The 25678-nt window shown below is 55.0% G+C and overlaps 2 protein-coding genes across 21 annotated transcripts in view, besides 4 other annotated features; one reads left to right on the forward strand and one right to left on the reverse strand.

Annotated features, from left to right (window-relative positions):
* The window catches only part of RSPH14 (radial spoke head 14 homolog), a 121315-nt gene that overhangs the window by 85908 nt on the left and 9729 nt on the right, over positions 1 to 25678 (reverse strand). The window lies entirely within an intron of this gene.
* On the forward strand, positions 2 to 23958 carry RAB36 (RAB36, member RAS oncogene family). Of its 20 annotated transcripts, none has more exons than XM_011530545.3 (12): positions 2 to 229; positions 637 to 708; positions 1283 to 1363; positions 4741 to 4832; positions 7139 to 7204; positions 7711 to 7812; positions 10646 to 10710; positions 12670 to 12721; positions 13576 to 13657; positions 13841 to 13931; positions 15557 to 15676; positions 23575 to 23958. In XM_011530545.3, the coding sequence occupies exons 1-12, from the start codon at positions 44 to 46 to the stop codon at positions 23589 to 23591; spliced, it is 1026 nt and encodes a 341-aa protein (XP_011528847.1). In that variant the 5' UTR covers positions 2 to 43; the 3' UTR covers positions 23592 to 23958. The 20 variants fall into 20 exon arrangements, 19 of the variants coding, with proteins under 19 accessions (XP_011528847.1, XP_011528848.1, XP_006724444.1 ...); XM_011530546.3 differs by having other exon boundaries at positions 13841 to 13911; XM_006724381.5 differs by lacking the exon at positions 23575 to 23958 and adding an exon at positions 16178 to 20341 and having other exon boundaries at positions 13841 to 13911.
* Positions 4151 to 4651: an enhancer, noted in NCBI's record as "NANOG-H3K4me1 hESC enhancer chr22:23491660-23492160 (GRCh37/hg19 assembly coordinates)". NCBI's record gives its function as "activates a minimal SCP1, AML or CMV promoter by ChIP-STARR-seq in naive H9 embryonic stem cells {active_cell/tissue: H9 hESC(naive)}" and the evidence as "EXISTENCE:reporter gene assay evidence [ECO:0000049][PMID:30033119]".
* Positions 4652 to 5152: an enhancer, noted in NCBI's record as "NANOG-H3K4me1 hESC enhancer chr22:23492161-23492661 (GRCh37/hg19 assembly coordinates)". NCBI's record gives its function as "activates a minimal SCP1, AML or CMV promoter by ChIP-STARR-seq in naive H9 embryonic stem cells {active_cell/tissue: H9 hESC(naive)}" and the evidence as "EXISTENCE:reporter gene assay evidence [ECO:0000049][PMID:30033119]".
* Positions 10670 to 11275: an enhancer, noted in NCBI's record as "H3K4me1 hESC enhancer chr22:23498179-23498784 (GRCh37/hg19 assembly coordinates)". NCBI's record gives its function as "activates a minimal SCP1, AML or CMV promoter by ChIP-STARR-seq in naive H9 embryonic stem cells {active_cell/tissue: H9 hESC(naive)}" and the evidence as "EXISTENCE:reporter gene assay evidence [ECO:0000049][PMID:30033119]".
* Positions 21332 to 21833: an enhancer, noted in NCBI's record as "H3K4me1 hESC enhancer chr22:23508841-23509342 (GRCh37/hg19 assembly coordinates)". NCBI's record gives its function as "activates a minimal SCP1, AML or CMV promoter by ChIP-STARR-seq in naive H9 embryonic stem cells {active_cell/tissue: H9 hESC(naive)}" and the evidence as "EXISTENCE:reporter gene assay evidence [ECO:0000049][PMID:30033119]".

Below are 25678 nucleotides of genomic sequence, written 5' to 3' on the forward strand. Positions count from 1 at the left end.
CTGCTGCCAGCCCCGCCCAGACTCCAGGCAGGTTCTCGTTGCTATGGTGATCGCCGGTGCAAGCTGGATGCTTGGACGCGCCGCTGCCAGTCCAACGCAGACCCCGCCCACGACGTCGACGATTCGTGTAGCCCGCAGGTCCCGCGTGGCTCTCGTTGCCATGGTGATCGCCGCCGCTGGCTCAGGCGGACCAGGCCGCGCGGAGCCCCAGCTTTCACAGCCATCGCTGGTGAGTCAGCTCGCCCACTCTGTCCGACCCTCCCGGTCACCCAACCCCGTGCTGGCACATCCCGAGGCCAGGGCCGCGAGGGCACAGCGTCCGCGCCCACTTCCCGCCCCTATAACTTGAAAGCGGCCTGCGGCCCCGGGGCGTCCTCATTTCCGGAGCGCAAACTCTGGGCCAGGCCCGCGCTGGTTGTGGAGGAGAGCCAGGTCAGATGCGGGAAGACAACCGGACTCCGCCAGGACCACCCCAGCCCAGCCTGGAGAGGAGTCCGGACAGAAAAAGGAGACAGAGGGGCTGTTGAGGAGGCTCGAGGAGTCAGAGGCCTGGTGAAGTGAGGGTTTTCAGGGAAAAGGCCTAGTTGGCTGAAAGTTAAGGCCCCCAGGCCCACCTAGAGCCTTCGTCCTTTGCAGACTGGGAGCAGGAGACCCCTCCCCACTCTACTTCCACTGCCTGAGCTGTGCCATGCCTCACAGCCCAGTAAGGTAAGCTCAGAGGGGAGCTCCTCCTTGGTAGACACCTGTCAAGGGGAGACCCAGGTCTTCTGACTCCCAGGCAGGGTGGGGCAGGCCTGGTTCCCCCATACCATGCTGCCTGCTGTATGCAGATTGAGAGAAATGGCCTCTGCCCCATATTCCTGACAGAGAGGGAAGCCTGGATCTGGTTTTATTTATAATTCTTGAGACAAGGTCTTACTCTATCACCCAGGCTGGAGTGCAGTGGCACCTTCACGGTTCACTGCACCCTTGACCTCCCAGGCTCAAGCATTCCTCCCACCTTCCTCCCAAGTAGCTGGGACTGCAGGCACAGGCCACCATGCCCTGCTAATTTTTTTGGTTTTTTTTTGTAGAGACTGAGGTTTCACTTTGTTGCCCAGGCTGGTCTCAACCTCCTGGGCCCAAGTGATCCTCCCACCTTGGCCTCCCAAAGTGCTGGGATTACAGGCATGAGCCACTGCACCCAGCCTGGATCTGATGAAAAGTTAGGTGGAAACTCATGGGTGAATCCCCAGGTATTTGCACAGCTCCTTAACTGTCTTTCTCCTGGTTGGGTCCACAGGACTGTGGAAGAATGAGGTCCTCCCTGACACCTTTGGGGCCCCCTGTGAGCCGCGACCGTGTCATCGCCAGCTTCCCTAAGGTAGAGAGTCATTACGTCTGCAGTGCTCTCCTGGCCCTGCAGCCACATCAGCTCTCCCCACTCTACACTCATGCCTAGAAGTAAAGCAGGTGAATCAAGGAGGTCTGTCCATTGTCAGATTTACCTTGAGGAGCTGGGAGACTGGTCACTGACTGCCCAAGGTGGGACCGCAAGTTAATGGTGACACTGGGCAGCAGTGTGGCCTGGAGGTTATAAGGGCTGGGATTTTGCAGCCAGACAGTCCTTGATGTGAATCCTTCATTCTGATTCTGTCATTAAGCTGTGTGGCTGTGGGCAAATTACTCAACCTCTCAGAGCCACTGTTACATGAAGGTAATTCCTCTCATATTGGGTGCCTGGCTCATGGTATGCAGGAGCTCCCCTGCAGTCATAGTTGCTGTTGTTCTCATCATCGTTGTTGTTATCAAAACAGCATTCCAGTTCCATGACCCCAAATCCAGGGCTCTCTCCTCTTGCCATTCCGCCTCTATGAGCTTGAAAACTCACAGCTCTCTTGTGTCTGTATTAAAATCCAATATTAATTGCAGCAGGGAATACAAATTGAGTACAACCTCCATAGGGGGCAGTGGACAATATTTACCAATATAGAAGATGACCCTGCCCTCTAAGATCCAGCCATTCTGTTTCTTTTTTCTTTTTTTTTTAGAGACAGGATCTTGCTCTGTCACCCAGGCTGGAGTGCAATGGTGCCATCATAATTCACTCCTCTAACTCCTGGGCTGAAGCAATCCTTCTGCCTCAGCCTCCCGGAGTAGCTAGGACCACAGGCATGTGCTACCATGCCTGGCTAATTTTTAATTTTTTTTAATAGAGATGAAGTCTTGCTATGTTGCCCAGGCTGGTCTTGAACCCCTGGCCTCAAGCAATCCTCCCACCCGGGCCTCTCAAAGCACTGGGATTATAGGTGTGGACCACCACAACTGGCCTTGCTATTCTATTTCTAGGAATTTACTTGGCAGATATTCTGGCATGGGTTTACAATGTGCATAAGGATAGGGGTTGGAGCAGTTTGTAAGAATAGAAGATAAGATACAACGTAAACATCCTCGGAGAGGGGACTGGTTAAACAAGTAATGCTTCCTGGCACAGACATGAGGAAGAATGAGGCAACCTCTTCAGGAGCTGACATGCAACGAGAGCCAAAGTAAACCGTTAAGTAAAAATGCAGGGCATGGAACAGAGTGCAGTAGAGTGTGTGCAGCACACTCCGGTGTGTGAAAACAAGGAGAGGGAGAAATGTCTATTTGTTTATATATGCAGAAAATATTTCTGGCAGGATATATAAGCCCCTACTCTCAGTGGTTGCCTCTGTGGCTTCGGACAGGTGCAGAGGGATAGATCCTCTCCATGGAATGGCCTTTTTTGCATCTTGGATTCTGTGGCCAGGCTGGTGAGGAGGAGGTGACTCTAGACAGGTCCTGGGTATTTGGAGTATGTGGCTCTTCCTCCTTCCCCCTTCTTTACCTTCCTCCCTAAGTTCCTTCTTCACACACCTACAGAGAAAGGCTTTGTGTCTCAGACCTGTGGACAGTTCCCCATGGGTTTTCCATCTCAACAGAGGCTCAGGCAATTATTCTCTCTGCAGAGCTTGACAGTGGTAACTAGGGATGACAGAGACTGGTCTTTCTTGAGTCAAAAGGAAGGAAAGTGTGATTGGCACAAAACAGTCCAGGTATCATGAGATGAAGAACCTCATTGGCAGAGCAGACGGCGAGGATCAGAGTTAAGGAGGGTTGCCTGACATCACACAGCTGCTCCTGGTACCTCTGGGATTTGACCTGGCCGTGTCTGGCTCCAGAGCACCCTACCCCAGGGAAGCAGCTTAGGGAATCCATCCTGGTTTCACAGGTGGCATTCTCCCCTCCTGCCCATAATAGTCAGGGATCAAGGCCACTGCTGGTCAAGTTCATCCTGCACCCCAGGGCCCTGAGAAATTCAGTCAGGTTGAGCAGGGTCTTCAGACTGCTTGCCAGGCAAGTCCTTCCCTTTATGCCATGTGCCTCAGTTTCCCTGTCTCTGAAATCAGCTCACACTTCTTACCCTGCAGCCTTCATTATCACAGTCTTCCAGCCATCCTGTAATGACCATTGTGTCTGAGCCAGTCCCTAGCTTAAAGCTGTCATGGAAGCTGACAGAAAGAAGCAGCCAGCTTGTTCATGGTAGCTGCTGCTCTTCTGCAGGAAAGTAGACTATCAGGCTAAGCTGCTCACCTGCATTATTCAGTTACTCCTCCAACGACCACATGAAAAGGTGCTATTATGAGCATCCCTGTTTAATATTTAAGGAAACTGGAGCTCGATAAGTTTCTGTAACTTGCCCTTTGCCAGTCTCCTTTCACCATCCCTGCTGCCTCAATCACAGCTGGAACTGAGAGGGCAGATGGGCCAGGCAGAGCCCGAATCCATGGTTGAGACACTGCGGCTGAGGGAGGGGAGCTGTGGATCCAAGCAGTGTTCAGAGGGACAGAGCAGGTGGCTGTGGCTGTGCAGGGGTGGGGGGCGGGGGGCGGGACCCTTGCCATACACAGATCACACCAACAGCCTCAATGGTGTCCTTCTCCCCACATCCTTGCCACATTCTGTATTTAGCCTGGGCCAATCCAATGGCAAAAAATAATGGTCATCTTTAGTTTGTTTAATCTCATTTTTTTCTAATTACAGACCAGGTGAGGGTGGGTGGGGTACGTGCAGTTTTTTCTGACCCTGAGGCCCATGCTCTTAAACCACTGCTCAGGTCTGCCTTCCAAGAAACGTGGACAGCAGAAAGCGCCTCCTAGGACATTTTCCAGGCACATGTATGCATGTTTTTAAAACAAAATGTCATCAGAGATTCATAGAAGGTATGGATTAGAGACAGGGTCTCACTCTGTCACCCAAGTTGGAGTGCAGTGGCATGATCATAGCTCACTGCAGCCTCTGTCTCTTGAGCTGAAGCAATCCTTCCACCTCAGCCTCCTCAGTATCTAGGACCACAGGCATGTACTACTGCACCTGGCTAATTGGATCTTGGAGGATCTTGGCACCAAAAGAGCTCCACTCGTCTCGCCCTGAGAGGGTTGAGACCCAGAGCAGACAGGCCTGTCACATGCATGCAGCAAGGGAACTGCGGCCCCAGGTGAGACACAGATCTCCAAGTCCCTGCCTGGGCTCGCCCCTCTGGACTCACAAGGCCCCAGAGCCTCAAGGCTGAGGAAATAGAAGATACACATGACAAATGGGTCAGGGAAAGCTAATGAGGCTGCCAGCTGTGAGGCCTAGGAAGGAAGGCTGGGAAGATCATCTCCCCTCACTGCTTGGCTACGAGGGCGGAGCCACAGCTTTGCAGGATGATGTGTCCGTCTGTCTGTCTCTTTGCAGTGGTACACGCCGGAAGCCTGTTTGCAGCTCAGGGAGCACTTCCACGGGCAGGTCAGCGCTGCCTGCCAACGCAGGAACACGGGGACTGTCGGGTGAGCCTGCAGGGTGTGGGATGGGGGAGCAGGTGGCAAGAAGGAATGAGTGCATGAAGCACGTGAAAGAATGAACAAATGAAACACACACACGAGGCTGGTGCAGCCCTGTACAGGCCTGAAGATGACTGGGGTTTTCTTTTTTTTTTCTTTTTTTTTTTTTTTGAGACAGAGTCTCGCTCTGTCGCCCAGGCTGGAGTGCAGTGGTGCGATCTCAGCTCACTGCAAGCTCTGCCTCCCGGGTTCATGCCATTCTCCTGCCTCAGCCTCCCGAGTAGCGGGGACTACAGGCGCCCGCCACCACGCCCGGCTAATTTTTTGTATTTTTAGTAGAGACGGGGTTTCACCATGTTAGCCAGGATGGTCTCGATCTCCTGACCTCGTGATCAGCCTGCCTCGGCCTCCCAAAGTGCTGGGATTACAGGTGTGAGCCACCGTGCCCAGCCAGATGACTGGGGTTTTCATCTGGCTTCAGTTAACACACCTGCCATATGGAACAACTTTCCCTCTTCTAAGTCACGCAGGTGATTTTTCAGCCTCAGGTCTTGGTACAAGTTCATTTCCTCTGTCTGGAATGTCTTTCCTAATCCCCTCGCTTCCCCTTCCCCTTCCCCTTCAGGTCTCAGCGTGTCAAGTCCTCTGGGAGCCTTCTCTGACCCCCCACTACCCTTGCCCCTGGACTGGGGAGGGTACCCCTCCTGGGTGCTCTTGTGCCCCCAAGAACTTATCTCACAGAATTGCAGGCTGGATTCCTCACTAGACCTAGCCCAAGAGGGCGAGGGCTGTGTCTGTCCTCTTCCTGCCGCGGCAGCTCCTGCCACCACTGGCAGAGGGATTGTGAAATAGTCATTCCTTCTTTTAACAAATAGGTACAAGGGCCTGCTTTTGCCCCTCTTCCTAAGGAGCTCATAGTCTGCTCAGGGAGTTGGCTGAGCTCACAGGGGTCACAGAGGTGCGATGAGGCTGCCAGAGAGCGCAGCTAGAGGTTCCCAAACTGCACAGAGTGGGTGAGGCAGAGCTGAGATCAGAATAGCCGAAGTGGCCATGGTGGTGGGATGAGAGTAATGGCATCTGTTGGGGAATGCTGGTGCCATATCAGGTGCTTCACACAGATGATCTCCCTGATCCCTTATGGCAGCACTGGAGGTGGGGAAACTGAGGATCAGAGGGTACCTGCTGTAAGACCTTGTCAACACCTTTACTCATTCATAGGAGAAATGGAGTCAGAACGAAAGGGCCCTCTGGGAGCAGGGTAGACACAATCCCTGCTCTCACGGACCTGGCAAGGTGACCTGCAGCCCAGGTCACCAGGTGACACAGTGGTGCCCTCTTGCTGTCTGCAGGCAGAGGAAGTGCCTGTCAGATATTTACCCAGGTTGGTTGCTGTGACCATTTGGCTCCTTGGGGATGAGCTGCAAAAACTCTTAAAGTGTTGTCAACAGTCCCAGGAAGCTGGGACAATGGCACCTGTAGTCCCAGTTACTCAGGAGGCTGAGGTGGGAGGATCACTCGAGCCAAGGAGTTTGAGACTACTAGCCTGGGCAACACAGCGAGACCCTGTCTCTAAAAAAATAATAAACAGTCCGAGAAACGCCTCTGCACAGAGTGTAGGACACACAGAGGGTGAGGGTGGCGGCTGCTCTTGGGGAACAGTGACCCACAGAGAGCCCAAGAACCTCAGAGCCGATTTGCCTCAAGCCACAGCCCGGATGCATAGAGCCTCAGCCCTGTTCGGGGTGTGCCCCTTGGCCTGTCGGACCCTTACAGATCTCTAAGTGAGCAGGGCACGGTGGTGTCATGGTCAGGGAGTGCCTGCTTGCAAGAGGCCGGAGCCCACATCGGCGCACAGCCCCGGGGGTGCATAGGAGGGTGAGGGGCTGCCCGTCCCTTTTGCCGGGGTCTCCCTGCACGTGGACCCTGTGTCTGCACCCTCAGCACAGCTCCCGGACAGCACAGACGTGCCCACGGCTGTTGGTTGGTTACCACAGCCACACCCTGGCCTCCTGCCTCTGCCCCTCCACCTGTGACTCGGCCTCTTGTTATGCCCATTCCTAATTCTCAGGATGGGGACTTTGGCCAAATATGGTGAGGGGTGCAGCTCTAGGGGCAGCAGAGTCTCCAGCCTCTCCCGTCTCCCCTCTGGGGACTGTGAAGGGGGAACACAGTGTCTCAGCAGGGTGGCCCATCCTGTGTCCAGGAGTGAGGGGTGTCTCACCAGCAGAGAGCTCAGGGAAGGAAGGGGCTGTGAGTGTCTGAAGACACCCTGGAAGGCATGCCCGACGGCAACACGGCCATATTTCTCACAGGCTCAAACTCTCCAAGGTGGTGGTGGTTGGCGATCTCTACGTGGGGAAGACCAGCCTCATCCACAGGTACAAGGCTTCCTCTGCCCCTTTGGCCACCTCCCCCAGCACCAGGTTGTCATACCTTTGCCTGGGTGGCCCAGATAATATCAACATAGCAGAAATCATGTGGCTTCCAGGAACTGCTGTGCCTCAGCCTGCTGGGAGCCGGATAAGAGGGGGTGCAAGAAATCGGGGAGATGGCAGGGCTGGGCAGAAATTGTGGCGTCCCAGGAGCCTGGCGCTTGTCAGACTGTCCCCCTGGGGCCACGGGCTCTCCCCTCCACTGCCCTCCCTGCAAATGGCTGCTCAGTTTCGCTCAGTTTCTAACTCACAGCTTGCCTTCCGAGCTCCTGCAGCCTCCCTTTCCCCACATTGTCCTTGCTGGCTGCCCTGCCCACCCATGGCCTGCGTGGACCATCGCTTCCTGATGGGAAGTGGACCTTATTTGCCTAAAGACTTGCAGTGTTACAAGTGAAGCTTCCGGGCACATTTCTGTGAGTACACCCCTGTGACGACTTCCTCATCCCCCACAGGTTTTGCAAGAATGTTTTTGATCGAGACTACAAGGCCACCATTGGGGTGGACTTTGAAATTGAGCGCTTTGAGATTGCTGGGATTCCCTATAGCCTCCAGATGTAAGTTGCTGGTTCCCCCATGGCTCGTGGGCAGCTTCCTACAGGCACCTGAGAAAGGATTTGGGGAGCTCCTTCACTGTGTCCATGTCAAGGAGGACTAGTCTAGACAAGCAGAGCCTGGGGGTGTTGTGTGACACTTAGCTTCCTGGCTCCCAGAGCCCCCACATGCTCTGTCAGTCCCAAAGTTGTCTCATTTTGGTCATTGGCTCTGGGGAAGGTGCTCACAGCCTGACCTGCCCACCTGCCCATGACCTCCCCAATGCCCACCCCACTCCTCTTGAGGCCCTGGCTCCAGTCCCTCCCTGACCTAGGCCTCCTGTGATCCCACTCACCAGGCCAGCAGGGTGGCCTCCCGCAGGTTGCTGCTGAGCTCTGAGCCTCTGTTCCCACCTGTAAAATGGGGTCAAATCCAGTCCCTGCATGCCAGGCTTGGGCAAGGAGGGCTGAGATGGAGTACACAGCACCCACATCCTTCCTCAGGTCTGAGGCACTCGTCTTCCTCCTCACACTGCAGCCTTCACTCCCTCTCCCCAGCCTCACTTTCCTTCCACTTCTGTCTTTTTTTTTTTTTTTTTTTTTTGAGACAGAGTCTTGCTCTGTCACCCAGGCTGGAGTGCAGTGGCGCAATCTCAGCTCACTGCAACCTCCACTTCAAGCGAATCACCTGCCTCAGCCTCCCAAGTAGGACAACAGCTGTGTGCCCCCACACCCAGCTAATTTATTTTTGTATTTTTAGTAGAGATGGGGTTTTACTATGTTGGCCATGCTGATCTCGAACTCCTGACCTCAAGTGCTCCACCCGCTTCAGCCTCCCAAAGTGCTGGGATTACAGGTGTGAGCCACCGTACCCGGCCCACTTCTGTTTGTCTTCCTTGCTAGGCCCTGGGAGTCTGACTCACGATGGCCTCCACTGGCCTTACCCCTTCCCTCTGCCTTCCATCTGAGTGGCCCAGGGCCACTCTCCCACCCCTTACCCTCTCCCACCCCAGCTGGGTAGCTTCCCTCTGCCCCGGCACCTGGAGAATGCTGCAGGCCTGCCTGGGCTCGGGCCCTCACCTCTACTCTCCTGTGAGACCCTTCCGTGCTCCCCTACATGGCTAGCCCCGCCCCCCTCCTCTCCACTTGCCTGCTGGCATTCACCAAGCTCCTTCCTGGTGCCTGAGTTCGTTCCTCAATCCTCCATGCCCTGCCTGGACTGAGCCTTCAGATCCTGTGGATGTCAGTTCCTAACTCTGTCGAGATAGTGCCCCCTTCTCTCAGGACTTCCACAGCCCCAGCAAAGCCCTGGAGATGGAGGATAACAAATCTTGCCCAAGGGAGAGTACAGGCCAGTCAAGAGCAAAGGAGGCTGGGAGAGAACGCAGGGCTGCAGGACTGAGGGATCCAGAGAGCTGAGAAGAGCAAAGGGCCAGTGGGGGTAGCTGAGGTGGAGCCGGGAAAGACTGGCTGGGGGCTGGGCTCACCCGTGTGACCACAGGCCATATCTCATTAGAGGGCCCTGGACAAAACAGGGACACTGTCCTGGCTCAGCCTCTCATTGTCTTACATTGAGGCCTTTGCCAGCCTCCCTACGGGCTCATCTCTAGGCCACCACCACCAGCTCCTCCCCCAGAGTCTTCAGAAATGAAAGAAAATATGAATGAATTAATGAAAGAATGAAGCCCAAACTTCTGTGTCATACTGGATCACTTGAAAAAAATTCAGACCATGACCGGGCATGGTGGCTCACACCTGTAATCCCAGCACTTTGGGAGGCCAGGGCGGGTGGATCACCTGAGGTCAGGAGTTCGAGACCAGCCTGACCAACATGGAGAAACCCCATCTCTACTAAAAATACAAAATTAGCCAGGCACAGTGGTGCATGCCTGTAATCCAAGCTACTTGGGAGGCTGAGGCAGGAGAATTGCTTGAACCTGGGAGGCAGAGGTTACAGTGAGCCAAGATCATGCCATTACACTCTAGCCTGGGCAATAAGAGCGAAACTCCACCTCAAAAAAAAAGAAAAAAATCAGACCATAGATGTCTTGTTTGTGACTTGTCTACTTTGCAGTTTACTGAGAAAAGTTCAATTTTGATCAGTTGACCTCAAAAAGCGATGGATTGGGGAACAATTTTCCGACTCAGCCCTGCATAGTGACTACCTGCCTTGTTCTAAGCCAGGGCAGGTAGATCTCAGTAGGTGCTCTTTCCCCTCTTCTAGACTGTGCCCATGGCAGACATCATTAATCGATTGTTGTACTCTTTTCCATGGAGCCAGGGCTTTGCTTCTAATTTCTTCTCACTACTGTGCTCCAGAGAGCTGGAGCTAACTGCTGAGACCCACCTATTGCTCCAGTGTTAGGTATCTCCAACTCCTACTTTGGGACCTGCAGTGTGGAAGGTGAAGCAATGACCCAGTCACACCCATCACCCAACCAAGTGGCAGAGCCACTGCTGGAGGCCCCGCCTGGAGCCCCAGTGCCATTCACAGAGCCTTCTCTACAAGTGGACTGCTACATCTTCAGAGCGAGTCATGTCTTGGGCCGTATGTTCCATTTTAATGTCTCAGTCAGAAGGGAGTGAGCTGCAACTCCATCCATCCAGGCAGCAGAACAACTAATGCCACACACCCCCATCCACTAGGAATGAGAGAAGTCCACTGGGGGCACCCTAGGAAGAGATCATAAGGAGCTGGGGGTAGGGACATCTGGCTCACAACAGGCACTTCCTGAAGCCCATGCAGCTGGCACAGGCCCTTAGGGTCTCCCACCCATGGTCCCGTAGCCTGTTGGCTCAAGACACTGTGATTGTGTAGCCTGACACCATTTCCCTTTCTTTCTCACCCACCTCACAGCTGGGACACAGCTGGGCAGGAGAAGTTCAAGTGCATCGCATCTGCCTACTACCGGGGTGCCCAGGGTGAGCAACATGCCACGTCGGGGCTCAACTGCATGCAGCAGCGGGGTCCCTGCCGGGCTCCACAGTGGGAATCCCGAGTTCTCTGCACAGGCACCAGTTTTTTGTCCTCCAAGACCCACTGAGAAAACACCAGGCCACTGCTTGGGAACAGGGAAGCTGCCTTCATCCCCAGGCACTGGCTGACTTTGGCGATCACACCCTTTAAGGACCCTGTGGTAGTGGGTGCTGGCTTTAAGTCTCAGCCCCAGTTTCAGCTCATAAAGATGCTCAGAGATGAAAGTGCTTTTCCAGAGGCTCAGAGAAGGGCAGCACTGGACTCCAGGGGGAGGTCGGAGGAGGCTTGTCCTGTCTTAGCAGAGGGGGCTGGGCCAGGGAGTAGGAGTGAAAGGGGGACCACGGGAGGACTGGGAGGCCCCAGGTGGGGGCCAGCAGGGCCGGATGCTCACCACTTCCATGGCCAAGGGCAGCCAGGTGGTGCTGGGCAGGGCTCACCGTCAGCAGGGGGCGGCAGCATAAGCTCCGGATGCCTACCCCACCTTCCCAGGAAGAAGACAGAAATGGATTTCAGTGGGAGATGTGAGAGAACCTCAAAAGTATCCAAAACCAGACTCAAATTATAAGGCACCGATATGTCTACTCGGTAGTGGTGAAAAAGTTACAACATTTTCTTTTAGACTTAAAAGAAGCAAAAATAGGAAACAAACCAGGCAGCCCTCAGCCGTGGGTTGGAGCTCCAGCTCTGCCCTGGTCGCATGGCCTCCTGCACCCTTCGCCTCTTCGGGCCTCTCCTTGAAAGGATGCTTCTCCCCTGGGAATAAGAGGTGCGAGGCGCCTGGCCCACCTCTCCACATGGCAGCCTGGCTGCCGTCATCCCTTTCCTCAGTTTCCCCCTTCCTTTCTCTTCCCATCTGCCTTGGGAGGGGCGTGGGTCTCCCTGTAGCCTTCAGCCAAGGTGCAGAGGAAGCCCCTGTCCGGCCCTGGTCACACCCCTGGGGGCAGTAGAGAGCATTTGCCTGGAATGTTCTCCACATAGGGCTCCCCTCAGGACCCCAACAGGACCGGGGTGCGGCCAGTGATGAGAGGAGCTGAGGGCCCAGGCTGCATCTCCCGGTTTTCTGCCCACCTGGCTCCCCGGAAGTTGTTTCGCTAAAGCAGGTTGTTGCTAACCATCACTGCTGTAGCTGCTGTTGGTTGAAATGAAAGTTGGCCCTGGACTAACAGGTTTTTTTTTTTTTTGAGCCTGAGTCTCGCTTTGTAGCCCAAACTGGAGTGCAGTGGCGCAATCTCGGCTCACTGCAAGCTCCGCCTCCCGCATTCACAACATTCTCCTCCCTCAGCCTCCCGAGTAGCTGGGACTGCAGGTGCCGGCTACCACACCCAGCTAATTTTTTTGTGTGTGTGTATTTTTAGTAGAGACGGGGTTTCACTGTGTTAGCCAGGATGGTCTTGATCTCCTGACTTAGTGATCCACCCGCCTCAGCCTCCCAAAGTGCTGGAATTACAGGCATGAGCCACAGCGCCTGGCGACTAACAGCTTTTTAAAACAGCTGCTCTTGTTTAATCCTCACAGCAACCCTGAGAGCTACAGGTCTCGTCCTCGCCATTTTACAGGTGGGAAAACTGAGGCTCTCAGCAGTTAAGGCCCTCACCTGAGCTCCCTTAGCCGTAAGTGGCAGAGGGTGTCTGACGCTAAAGCCCATGCGCTCGCTCCACGCCTACCTTGTCCTGCCTCCCTGGATCCCACACTGAGGCTGGGCTGCCGGGTGCAGGCTGGAGGGTCCCGGTGGGGGACAGCCATGGGGTGTTTCCTCCTCAGCCTTCATTGTAGGAGGTTCCGGTGCTGAGTGCCTGGTTGGGGGGCTGCCCTGGCAGTTCCTTGGGAGCTGGGCACCTCCTGGGGAGCCCCCTTGCTCGCCTCGCCTGGCACTGATTGGCTGTTGGCTTTTTCCGGGTGTCTAGTGATCATCACGGCCTTTGACCTCACTGACGTGCAGACCCTGGAGCATACCAGGTAAGTCTGGGCTCTCTGGCCCCTGCAGTCTCCCTGGGCTCAGGAAGCTGCCTGGAAGGGCTCCCAGACCCTGGCCAGTGGACCCTGACCCCGTGGTGGGTGTGAGTGACCAGGGCCCCTTGTCAGAACCAGCTGCCCACGGACTACTTACTGTCCAACTGCCTTTATCGCTTGAGATTTGTCCCTATTCTGGAGGAGCCAGCACATGAGTGTGAGCCCAGCACAGCCACCCCCAGGCACGTGCTCAGAGGGGCCCCAACCTGCTTTAATACACTGCCTTTGCCATGTTGCAAGTCCGGATACTTTTTGAATGAGGTGCCCCACGTGTTCAGTTCACTGTGGGCCCTGAAAACTGTATAGCCAGTCTTTGAAGTGACATGAATTTGGCACTTGCAGTCTTGAGAAGAGAGAATTGGCAATGTGACCCATTCAAGAGGCTATCCTACTTCTGCTGGGAATCGGCCAGCTACTAGAGCAAAGCCCTCTCACCTTACCTTGGTCTGGGGCATTCACACCCAGCAACTTCCAAACCCCGTGAGGGAGGCGGGGGTGATGGTTCTAGTTGATAAACATGCAGGGCTCATGCAAGGTCTCACCGGGAGAGGCCAGAGGTGGGGCCAGGAGGGGTCTTCACCACCTCCAGCCAGTGCTCTGGTATTCCCACCCCTTTGGGTCCAGCCAACGCCCTTCCGGCTGGAGGTGCAGCATCCTGCTCAGCCAGTGTGGGCCAGGAAGCCCTCCTTGTCCCTCCCAGCCCAGCACTTCAGCCCTGGGGAGGTCCCAAGTGTGCCCTCTGCCCCCTGTTTGGGGTGGGAGGATGGGTGAATCTCTCAGCCTCTCTCCTTACACTCCAGGCAGTGGTTGGAGGATGCTCTGAGGGAGAACGAGGCAGGCTCCTGCTTCATCTTCCTCGTGGGAACCAAGAAGGACCTTCTGGTGAGCAGAGTGGCACTGGTGGTCTGGGTGGCCCTTGGGAAAATGCCTCCCCTTACAGCCCTCATTGGAGGAGCCATGGGGAGGGAGGGAGGCAGCACAGTGGGAAGCAGGCAGCTGCCTATCCCCCTGGGCCTCCCTGCAGGAGAGCCGGGACGCTGGGTCAACAAGGGCCATTTCTCCCAGTCAGGGGCCGCATGTGAGCAGGCCGAAGCAGACGCTGTGCACCTGGCCAGGGAGATGCAGGCCGAGTACTGGTCAGTGTCGGCCAAGACTGGTGAGTGGGCCAGGGCTGTCACCATGGTGGGGCAGAGCCCTGCTCTTGGGCCAGTCCTGTGGGGCCTGCCATGCAGTGTTTCCCTCTGTAGCCAGTCGTCTGTTCCCTCTGTGGCCCTGGTGCACACTGGCATCACAGCCCTGCTGTGCTGGTGCCTGGCAGCACTTTCATTGCCTAAGAGGAGCTGCGTCATCTCTAGAAGGAAGCTGGGAGGCCTGCCTCACGGATGGGGGAATAGTGACCCCAACCCTGTGTCATGCCGTGCTGGCCTGTTCTCCATAACCGGAGAACCCCATAACTACTCATAACTACCCCATAACTACTCATGAGGCACGTTCCATTTTAGTCCTGTGAAGTAACTTCCAGGGCCACAGGGTGGCAGGGCCAGGATCCAAACACACCCTCACCTGTAACCACTGCACTATCCTGCCTCTGGCCCTGAAATGCCAGGCATGTGACATCACCTGGCATAGAGAAGGGCCCAGTGACAGGGGCTCCCATCCCTTCCCAGTATCACTGTGGCTCAAAGACCCCAGCTCTCACTGAACTCACTCCCCACCGGGTCTACCCCTGGCCATACTGGGTCCCCAGCCCAAGGCAAGATGCCCAGCATCTTTGAGCCTCCATCTCATCTGGGAAGCAGGTGATGCCATCCATCTCCCTTTTTTGTGAAAAAACGTTTTAAATTACAAAAGCCAGGTGTATTTACTGAGGAAAACAGAAAATCCAAAGACACAAAGAGCAGATGGCAAACACAGGTTGTTGGGGGATGAAATGAAGTCATACGCAGGGCCTGGCACATAATAGGCCCCCAAGGCTCTGGGGACTCAGGAATTGGGCCCAGTAGTCTTTACCCTGTGTAAGAGGGGACAGCAGATATCTAGTCGGAGACTGGGTGAGCACTGAGGGTTGGCGTCACAAGTAGAAGCACCACTTTCAGCCCAGCGCAAACAACTGGCAGTGCCTTCCACTGCTCCTTTCCAACAGTGAGAACTGCTCTGTGAGAACCCTTCCTCCCTTATCAGAGTAACAGTGAGTTCACCGACAGCTCACTATGGACCAAGCAGGACTGCCCTATGCGGTTGTGCAGGTTGCTGGCTGCACAAGGGCAGTGTGCGTGTTAAGGGCTGGAAACCAGCCCGCTCTCTGATGGGCAGCCACCTCTACCTGGAGGAGGATGCATAAAGGCTCCATGTGGGGGCTGACAGCAAATCAATCCTCACAGCCCCACCGGACAGGTATGGAAAGTGACAGGAGGGCAGGCACATATCTGTCCTGAGTTCCACATCTTCCAACACTTGGGCCATAGTAGCATCTGATTGGAAGAGTAGATGCTGGGAAGCAAAGGCTCAGAAGTTTGAGGGAGTGGCCCAAGCAGGCAGTGGGGTGGGAGTTGGGAGGCTGGAGCCAGGTGGGAGGCCAGGCCAGTGGACCCTGCCCCTGGCACTGTGCTGCCTGTGTGAGTGGGTGGGGCTGTGCCCTCCTGGGGTCATTGTTACTGTCAGGGTGCTCTAGAAAGGGCTACGTGCCAACCTGAGGGTAGGCTAGCCTGGCTTTCACACCCAGATGCATTAAGGGGCAAGGAGAAACACTGATGAGGTCCCGGCTGTCTTGTGGGCCCACAGGCGAGAACGTGAAGGCATTCTTCAGCCGCGTAGCCGCCCTGGCATTCGAGCAGTCGGTGCTGCAGGACCTGGAGAGGCAGAGCAGTGCCCGGCTCCAGGTCGGCAATGGAGACCTAATCCGTGAGTATAGGTGTGACTGGGTTGGGCTGGGGAGTAGGCTGGAGGCCTAAAATCCACATGCGCCATCCTCGTCACCTGAGGCCTTGCCATTTCCTGAACTTGTGGCCCTCTCCTGTCCTTTGACCCTCCTCTCAGGGTGTCACTGCAGCCTCAGGCCTGTAGCCCCTCTGATTCCACCTGCCAGGTCAGACACCCTCCCTAGCCCTCCCTGTTCTCCTGACACATGGACCTCATGGGCATCCATGAGGTCCTCATAGCCCAGGCTGGGCGTCCCAGGCTCTGCAGATGTGTCCTGGCCCCGGCTCTCCCAGTCTGCACCTTTGCCCTCTCTGTTCCAGTGCCTGGAAGGCCCTCTCTTGGCTTGTGTCAGGCCATTCAGGCCTTGAACAGCAGGCCCAGAAGCTTCAGCTCACAGCTCTGACTGTCAGGGCCGGCATCCCCTGCCCAGTGTCAGCTACAGGATTCCTGGTTGATGCTAAATTACTTCTCCCCTCCTTACAGAAATGGAAGGGAGTCCGCCCGAGACCCAGGAGAGCAAGAGGCCCTCCAGCCTGGGCTGCTGCTAACTGGGGCCTGCGTGGAAGGCCTCCGCTCCCTGCACACACACGGACAGGAATTTCCGTGACTGTGGTGTGGAGACTGGAGCCCAAGCTCTGCAGCGTGTCGCCCTCAAGCTGTAGGCCCATGTTCCAGTCCCTCCACCCACCCACCGGGCTCAGCTCCAGGGCACAGTCACTTGTCCGTTGCAGGTTGGGCACTAGAAAAGGCCCCCACTGGCTGCCTGGGAGCCCCACACCACCGGGCCAGTGCAGGCACTGTGGTGATCCCATAAAAGGCCAGTCCATTTGCAGGGTCATCAGACAGTCACCTTTGGCCTCAAGAGGCCTCAGAACTGCAAACTCCTGCGTCGGTCTATACTACTCGGCCATGGCCCACATCAGCAGTCAACCCTGCACTCTTTCCCAGCGATCTTGGATGTGTCCCCAGGATCCGTCACAGTGTTCCAGGCAACCTGGACTTGTCAAAGTCAGCACCTGAAGGAGAGGCCACCTGCCATTCCCCCTGGGAGTTTTCTGTTGTCAGCAGGACTTATGGTTCTGGGTCTCAGAGCTTCAGGCCTCACTGTCCTTCTGCCACGGATGCTCAAGGTTCCTGGGCAGACCAGCACCTCTGGAGGACAATGGACAAAATGTCTCTTAGACCTGTTCTGGCTGAAGGGCTATCTCTGGCACCTCTGAGATCCCTAGGTCCTGCCCTCCTGGTCCGTGGGCCAGGATGTGCAGAACAACCACTCAGGCCTTTCTGGCCCACCTGGACAGTGCATTTACCTGTGTGCTGCGGGAGGCAGACTGCACAGCTGTCCTAGGGTAACTCACTCTGCAGCCCTTGAACATGGCACTGCCCTCCTCTGGCACTCATGCTGGGCCTGTGCCCACTGCTGCCTCTCCATCCCTCTCTCATTGGCCTATACATCTCTTAGGACCTTTGTAATGGTGTCCATGCACCTTTAGAGGACTTCAGAGGCCCTGCCAAGTCTAGCATGTTCCTGTCTCCAACACCGCCTCCTGCACATGCAGAGCAGACAGAAATACCCCACACATTCCCCAGCCTCTCTGCCCAGTATGCTCATCCACAGGGTTTTCTCACTGCTATGAACCAGCCCCACAGCCCCAGGCCCCTGTCACCTGGCTATGCCCACTCATCCCACCCGTCTCGTGCTGTTGCTTCCCGTAGATGGCGAGCACCTTGCAGGCAGCCTTCTGATCAGTACTGCTCTCCTAGGGCCTGGCACACTGCAGCTGCCCTGTAAATGTTCAGCTCAGCGATTGCCAAATACCAGTTAGGGAAGAACACTGGCATCTTTTTCTATTCATTCCCCCTTCAACATATTTTTTGTAGTTTTTTATATAAATGACTTTTTTTTTTTTTTGAGATGGAGTTTCACCCTTGTTGCCCAGGCTGGAGTGCAATGGCGTAATCTCGGCTCAGTGCAACCTCTGCCTCCCAGGTTGAAGCGATTCTCCTGCCTCAGCCTCCCAAGTAGCTGGGATTACAGGCATGCACCACCATGCCTGGCTAATTTTGTATTTTTAGTAGAGATGGGGTTTCTCCATGTTGGTCAGGCTGCTCTCGGACTCCTGATCTCAGGTGACCTGCCCACCTCGGCCTCCCGAAGTGCTGGGATTACAAGGGTGAGCCACCATGCCCGGCCATAAATGATTTTATTCATTTTTATGTTTTCTTTTGGGCGGCGGGATGGAGTCTCTGTCACCCAGGCTGGCGTGCAATGGCACGATCTTGGCTCACTGCAAGCTTCCCCTTCCGGGTTCATGCCATTCTCCTGCCTCAGCCTCCCGAGTAGCTGGGACTACAGGCACGTGTGACCATGCCGGGCTAATTTTTTATATTTTTAGTAGAGAGAGGTTTCACCGTGTTAGCCAGGATGGTCTCGATGATCTGACCTCGTGATCTGCCCGCCTCGGCCTCCCAAAGTGCTGGGATTACAGGCCTGAGCCACCGCGTCCGGCCTCCATAAATGACTTTTAAAGGGGTTGTATGTTTAGTGTGAACAAAGACAGTACAAAGCATATAAAATACAAGGTGAAAGCCCCCCCCCCGCCACATTAGCTGCGCCCCTGAAGTGTCTCCAGCAGAAGAGATGGATGAATGGAAGGACACACAGATGGACAGAGAGCAGGAAAGACTGTTAGCTCTGCTAACAGTCAGGACTATTCCTTCTGGACTCTGTGCCTTTGCCTGCACAGCTAGTGTTGATGGCTTGTTTGTTGTTTTCACCAGAGTGAGCTCCTTCTGGACATACTGCCTGGCAGCCTGCCTTCCTAGGGAGCTGGCGCCAAGGCCTCTCCCTGATGGCACACAAGGAGCCTCCTTCCTGTAGCAGCGCCCAGTTTTCATGTGGATGGATTGTAGTTCATTTGACCCTCCCCATCCGCGGGCCATCCGGCTTGTGTCCAGCTTTTAGCTCTTGCCAATGGTGCTGCAGTGGCCATTCTTGTAGTTATAGCTTTGCGTACTCAGGAAGGCCCTTCTCCCGACTGCGGCCCCCAGCCTGGTCCACTAAATGCAGCCTGTGGTCGGGCAGACAGCATTGGGGTCCATTAGGAAGACCAGGTTTGCTGGGCATAAGCTTCACAGGACGGGAGAACCTGCCCATGGTGGACTGTCGTTCTCCACAGCTCCCTTCCCTTGCCCCTTCGGGCCTCCAGGATATGTTTGCGGGGGTGGGTGTGGTGTCCAGCTGTTACCAGCTTCTGAGCTAGAGCTGTACTGCCTCACGTACACCCCCACCTCTGTAAATGGTCCTTGATTAAATCGTCCTCATATTACCTCCTGCAATGTGCCAGCTGATTCCCACACACCCTGACTGACATAGTTGTGGCCTCTCGAACTTTGATATTTGGCCTGGGAGGACAGAAGAGTAAGGTCGCCACGGAAACGCAAGGGGCTCAGTTGTCCCCCCACCCCAAGTTGATGCAGCATCTTCTCGGTCAGAATTGCTTCAGGGTGGTTTGCGCACCCTCACTTTGATGATTTAATGAAGACATTTCCTTCTTTCCCAGCATCGGGCAGTAAGTTTCCTGGGCAGAGGCACTTTCTGTTGGTCTGGTCTTGTGGGCCCAGGCAAGCAGCCCCCTGCAGCCAAGGTGCGGCAATGACCACAGTGACCGCGTCCAAGTGCTGCCGAAACGCCTTTTTCCTCTTCCCTGTTTCCCTGGACCCTTTCCTGCTCTCTGTCCATCTGTGTGTCCTTCCGTTCACCTGTCTCTTCTGCTGGAGACACGTACCTGAAGCAGGTCCTCTCCTGTCACTTCCTGGCTCCCCAGGGCTAGGTCCCAGGGTGCTCTCGCTCTGGCTTTCGAGGCTCCTCACCACCCAGCCCACCCCACCCCCACAGGCCCCTGTGCTCCAGTTTCATCCCTGGTCACAATGCAGTCTGCAGATGCCAGACCCCTCTTCTGTGCCCAACGGCTGGGACACCCCTACTCCCAGAGAGGCCTCTGTGGACACCCCCACAGCTCTCGCAGCACTTGATACCTTGAGTGTGATTGGTCACATCTGGGCTTTCTCCCCCACCCATCTGTGGAACCCCAAGAGCCAGGACAGTGACCTCATCACCTCTACTGTCTCCCCTAGCACCTCTGGGAGGAAGGGCCCACAGTAGGTGCTCAATAGATGTGTAAAGAAGGCAGGGAAGCAAGAAGGTTGCTCAAACAAGACCATGTTCCCAGCAGACAGATTGCACTCTGACCCAGATGCCACCACACGAAACTTACACCTGCCTGGGGAACAATCCTGTGCTTGGCTCTCCTTGGTGGCCAGGGACAGTTGTGCCTCATCCCTCACTTGCAAACCCCAGTCCTGTCTGACCCAGAGACCCTCACAGGGCATCAGCCAGTGAAGGCGGTTTGGGGCTGGAGGATATGTTCTGATCTTGGGAAGAGCTTGGTAGGAGCCAGCCACAGAAAGTTTCAGGGCAGAACTGAACAGGTCTCGGGAAGGACACTTCATGCCAGCTAGAGAGGCTCTGGGCACAGGAAAGAATTGGACTTCGGGCAGAAAAATGTTTGTGCTATTTAGTACTATGTAACAAATCACTCCAAAACTTCATTGCTTAAAGCAACAAGCATGTATTATTTCTCATGATTCTATGATTTGACCAGCTATTCTTCCGCTCCCTGCTTGGTAGCTGGGCCACTAGGATGACTCTCCCAGAGTCCAAAATGGCCTCCCTCATATGAGTGGCAGGTGGTGTGGCTCTACCTGAATGCTTGGCAGGGCCTTGCCACATGGCAGCTTGGGCTTCCTCACAGTGTGGTGGCTGGTTTCTAAAAAGGACTGTTTCCAGGCTGGGCACAGTGGCTCATGCCTGTAATCCCAGCACTTTGGGAGGCCAAGGCGGGCGGATCACGAGGTCAGGAGATAGAGACCATCCTGGCTAACATGGTGAAACCCTGTCTCTACTAAAAATACAAAAAATTAGCCAGGCATGGTGGCACGCACCTGTAGTCCCAGCTACTTGGGAGGCTGAGGCAGGAGAATCACTTGAACCTGGGAGGTGGAAGTTGCAGTGAGCCGAGATCTTGCCACTGCATTCCAGCCTGGGTGACGGAGTGAGACTCTGTCTTTTAAAAAAAAAAAAAAAAAAAAAAAAAAAAAAGGAGTGTTTCCAGAGACAAGCCCCAATGTGTAAGTGCTTATCAAGCCTCTGTTTACATCACACTTGCTATATTTGGCCAAAATGGGGCATTTTGGCCAAATGTCCAAAGTCCAGAGTCAGTGTGGGAGGGGATTTCATAAGGGTGTGAAGAACTGGAGGTCTGATGCATTGGGGGCCAATATGGGGGGGTGGGGTGCAATATAGGGAACTAAGGGAGAGAGTAAGATGAAGGGCTGTGTCCCAATGTCTGCTCCTTTTTTGTCCTGAGGCAAAGCAAGGGCTTTCTCCCTAAGCAACAGCTCCTTACCCTGACCTTTGCCAATGAACTCAGCATAGAGGTGCTTCCTCAAGAAAGCCTGCTTTAGCCTCTCCAGCTGGGTCAGGTTGCCCTTGATCCCTATCCTGGTCTCTTTACAATTCCCTTACCGTCCTGGTGGCCTTGGTGGTCTGCCTTGTTCACTGCTGCATCCCCAGCACCAGCCTACTAAGTAAGCCTTGGAATGAGTGCACGGCTAGTCTCACAGTGCAGCCTCACACGATGTTGTTAACTGGTGCTCTACACCTTGGATCCCAAGAGGGCGAGGCCAGAGCCCAGGTCACCCCTGACCCCAGCAGGCACCACCACCCACCACCCACTGGAACCCACTTGCAGTGGAAATTCTGACCCACTGTTCCCCAAAGCAGAAGTCATCCAGGAGTGGGGTGCCTCCTGGGGGAGTAGCAAGAGGCCACATTTATGGAGCACGCTCTTTGTGCCAGCCCCGTATGCAGTGAGGTGCTCTGGAAGCTCGTTTAACCACAGCAATGCTGTGGGCTCACTACCACCCCCGCCCTGTCCCCGCCTGACAGGTGGGGAGACTGAGGTGCAGACAGCTGAAGAGATGGGACACACCTGAGCACCTCCTCCTCCTCTGAACTCCTGGTCCCTCCCCTGCCTCTGCTGCCAACCCCACTTGGAGTCTAATCCCAGTGGGAATCTGCTGCAGGTGCCCTCACCCCTGGGGCTCAATGTCTCTCAGTCAGTTGCCCCAGCACACTGCCACCCAGGGTCGAACCCCAAAAGGAGTTTATTCGCATGGCCCCAACCAAGCTCAGCCCTCCTCAGGGTCCCCCAGCTGAGCCTTCCCCTTCACTGCCGCTCCCTGCACCCTCACAATGTGAGTCTATGATTCTGTCCTTCCCAGCCCAGCAGCCATGGTTGACAGAGGCTCCACAGGGACCGGAGCAAGGCAGTTGCTCTCAGCATCTTTCAACCCTGTCCCCTGGGTGCCTGCCTGCCTCCCCCTCCTCCCAGCCCTGCTGCAGGCCTCTGGAGTGGAGAGGAGGCCAGCAGGATCCATTCGACTCACATTTCAGCCTGGGGGATGGGATGGACCACTGTCAGACAAACCTCACTCTCTGGAGGGATGCAGGGCATCTTAACCCAGGAGAACTCAGGTCACCTACAATCTAGGTAACTGAATACTGAAATGGACAGAGGATCGGTTAAATTGACACGTTCACTCATTCATTAACTCTTTTTTTAATTAATTTATTTTTTTTTTTAAGGCAACACAGCCAGGGTCTCGCTGTGTTGCCTGGGCTGGCCTCAAACTCCCGGTCTCAAGCAATCCTCCTGTCTCAGCCTTCTGAACAGCTGGGACTACAGGTGCACTACTGCACCTGGCTTCATTGACTAATTCTCATTTTTTTTGAGATGGGGTCTCGCATTGTTACCCAGGCTGGAGTGCAATGGCGTGATCATAGCTCAGTGCAACTTTCCATCATCAAGCAATCCCCCCACCCCAGCCTCCCAAGTTGTTGGGACTACAGGAATGAGCCAGCATGCCCAGCTAATTTTTAATTTTTTTTTTAATTTCACAGAGATAGGGTCTGTGTTGCCCAGGCTGCACTAATTCTTACTTGTTCATGCATTCAGCTTTCCTGGAGCCCCCTTTCTGGCCCAGCCCTTTGCATTCTCCCATTCACTCCTCCCGCAGCCCACACGGCAGATGCCAGCCCGACCCCATTTTCACAGGTGAGCCAGGCTTGGCATGGGGCATAAGCCCTGGGTCCACACAGGCAGGGCTAGACTGGGAGGCAGCTCCCTCCAGCTCTTGAAGTCCTGGGCCCCCGGGGATGCTGACAGGTAGCCAAGGAATCCCAGGCTTGGAGGGGACTGCAGAGAGACACAGCAACCAAGGGAGCCCAGGACAGGGATGAGAGAAGACATGTGGGGGGTTTCAGAGGAAGAAACTCACAGCACAGAGAGGGACCCCTCCTCTCCTGAGGGAGAAGCGGCTCCTGGAGACTGGGTGGACCCTGGGCACCGCTCCCCGCCACACACACACACAGACACCTGCCGCTTCAGGCACTGTGTGAGATGCGATGCCCTCCCAGCAGTTCCCAGGCTCCTCTGCCATCTGCTGTGGCCTACCAATGTCATCTCCCATATGTCAGCCTTCCCCTGAAGGAAACTGATGAGCAGCCAGGACGTATGACTGTCACATGCTCCTTCCAGGCAGCACAGACCCTTCCTGGCCTCCTCCCCTTTGTCCAGGCACCCCCTCAGTATTCAGGGCCACCAGCCAGTGTCTAAGCCTGGGCCCCAGGAAGGTGAGGGAGCAGGCATGGGACTCCTGTCCCTGGGCACTGTCAGCAGGCTCACCCCTTGTCTTCTGGGATACATGGTGGGTGGTCTGGGAGGCAAACCAGGTCTGGGCTCCCTCTTCCCTGACAGGTGGTTGGCACCCCTAGCCTGAGGGTACACTAGGCCTCTGCTCACTGGAAGCCACAGCCTGGCACAACTCACTGGCCCTGTCTTCGGGAACGAGCTCATCTTGTCCCAGCAATTTCGCCTCCTGTGAAGGCTGCCAATGGTGGCCAGGAGACTCCGCTGGGATTCTCCTGACTGCAGGGACCTCATCAATAATTGATTCTGCAGAAGGCAGTGGAGTTCCTGAGGAGGGGCCCAGGTCTGGAAGGGAAGGTTCACAGCCCCAGTCACTCGGAACCTGGGACCAGCAGCTCCACAGGGGCTCGTTTCTCACTGGACAAAGATGGCCCTCAGATCTTTGCTCCGCACTCTGGCTGGGGGCAGGAATAAAGGACAGCTGTATTGATGGCCCAGTTTTCTGATCTTGCCCCCAGCTCCCTATGGTTGATAGATGACAGATGATGGATGACAGATGATGGATGGTGGTCACATGGCCACATCCCACTTGAAGGGAGCCCTCCTCTGGCCTCCAGCCTCCCAAGTGGGTGGGGACAGGGGTGGAGACAGCGCGGAAAAGGAGCAAGAAAGAACAAAAGCTCACGCAGGCTTTTAATTCGGGCTCAGGCAGATCTGAGGGCAGAAAGCCCAGCCATCTACAATGTCTTGCCTGATGGTACTGATTGTGACTCAGGAGGTTGGGCTCAAGTCTGGGCCCCCAGTTATTGCTATGTGACTTGGGGAGGTCACTCTCTGAGCCCGTTTCCCTGCCTCTTGTTGGGGTAATGGCTGGGGAGGTGGAAAGAAATCACGCTGAAGGACCTCAGTTCCAGGCTGGCCCCCTGGTGAGGGCTGGTTGGATAGGACCCCTGAAGACTGTGTGACCCTCATGAGCAGAGCCATTGCACCCACCCACAAGGGGCCTTTGGGTGAATTAGAAAAAGGTACCTTGGCTGGGTGCGGTGGTGCACACCTGTAATTCTGGCACTTTGGGAGGTGGAGGTGGGCGGATCGCTTGAGCTCAGGAATTCGAGAACAGGGCAACATGGCAAAACTGTCTCTACAAAAACTATAAAAATTAGCTGGGCATGGTGGTGTGTGCCTGTAGTCCCAGCTACTTGTGAGGCTGAGGTGGAAGGATCGCTTGGGCCCAGAAGCTTGAGACTGCAGAGAGCTGAGATTGTGCCACTGCACTCCCTCCTAAGCAACTGAACAAGACCCTTTAAAAAAAAAAAAAAAAGCAAAAAAAGAAAAAGCCACCTGTGCAGTTCCCCAAAAAGTAAAACATAGAATTGTCACATGACATGGCCCAGAAATATACCGTTCCTAGGTATATCCTCCAAAGAACTGAAAGCAGACTCAAACAAGTACATTGCCTTAGTGGGAGCCTGCCATAGTCTAGGTGGTTTTTAGAACAACAGAAATTTATTTCTCACAGTCCCGGAGGCTGGAAGTTCCAGATCAGGGTGCCAACACGGTTGGATTCTGGCAAGGGCCCTTTTCTAGGTCACAAACTGTAGAATTCTCACTGTATCCTCACATAGCAAAAAGAATTTGAGAGCGCTCTTCAGGGTTCCTTTAAAAGGCCACTAATCCCAGCCAGGCACAGTGGCTCACACCTGTAATCCTAGCACTTTGGCAGGCCGAGGCGGACAGACTGCCTGAGCTCAGGAGTTTGAGAGAAGCTTGGGCAACATGGTGAAAAAAAAACAAATTAGCCGGGCGTGGTGGTGAGCACCTGTAGTCCCAGCTACTCGGGAAGCTGAGGCAGAAGAATTGCTTGAACCCAGGAGGCGGAGGTTGCAGTGAGCTGAGATCATGCCACTGCACTCCAGCCTGGTGACAGAGCGAGACTCCACCTCAAAATAAATAAATAAATAAGGCCACTAATCCCATTCACGAGGACTCCACCCAGGACTTAACTACCTCCGAGGCACATTGAGGGTTAGAATTTCATATATATATATATATATATACCTACATATTTCCCACTTAGAGATGGGGTCTGACTATGTTCCCCAGGCTGGCGTGCTGTGGCTATTCACAGGCACAATCCCACTACTGATTGGCACAGAAGTTTTAGCCTGTTGCACTTTCTTTTTTCTTCTTTTTTTTTCAAGGTGGAGTCTCA

This window comes from Homo sapiens, chromosome 22 (genome assembly GCF_000001405.40).
Source record: "Homo sapiens chromosome 22, GRCh38.p14 Primary Assembly".
In the NCBI taxonomy this organism is placed as follows: domain Eukaryota; kingdom Metazoa; phylum Chordata; class Mammalia; order Primates; family Hominidae; genus Homo; species Homo sapiens.

Coding starts and splice junctions, on each gene's coding strand:
- RAB36 (XM_006724381.5), top strand. CDS start 44: ATGGTGATCGCCGGTGCAAGCTGGATGCTTGGACGCGCCGCTGCCAGT. Junction 4,833..7,138: donor AGGAACACGGGGACTGTCGG/GTGAGCCTGCAG, acceptor TATTTCTCACAG/GCTCAAACTCTCCAAGGTGG. Junction 13,912..15,556: donor GAGATGCAGGCCGAGTACTG/GTCAGTGTCGGC, acceptor GTGGGCCCACAG/GCGAGAACGTGAAGGCATTC.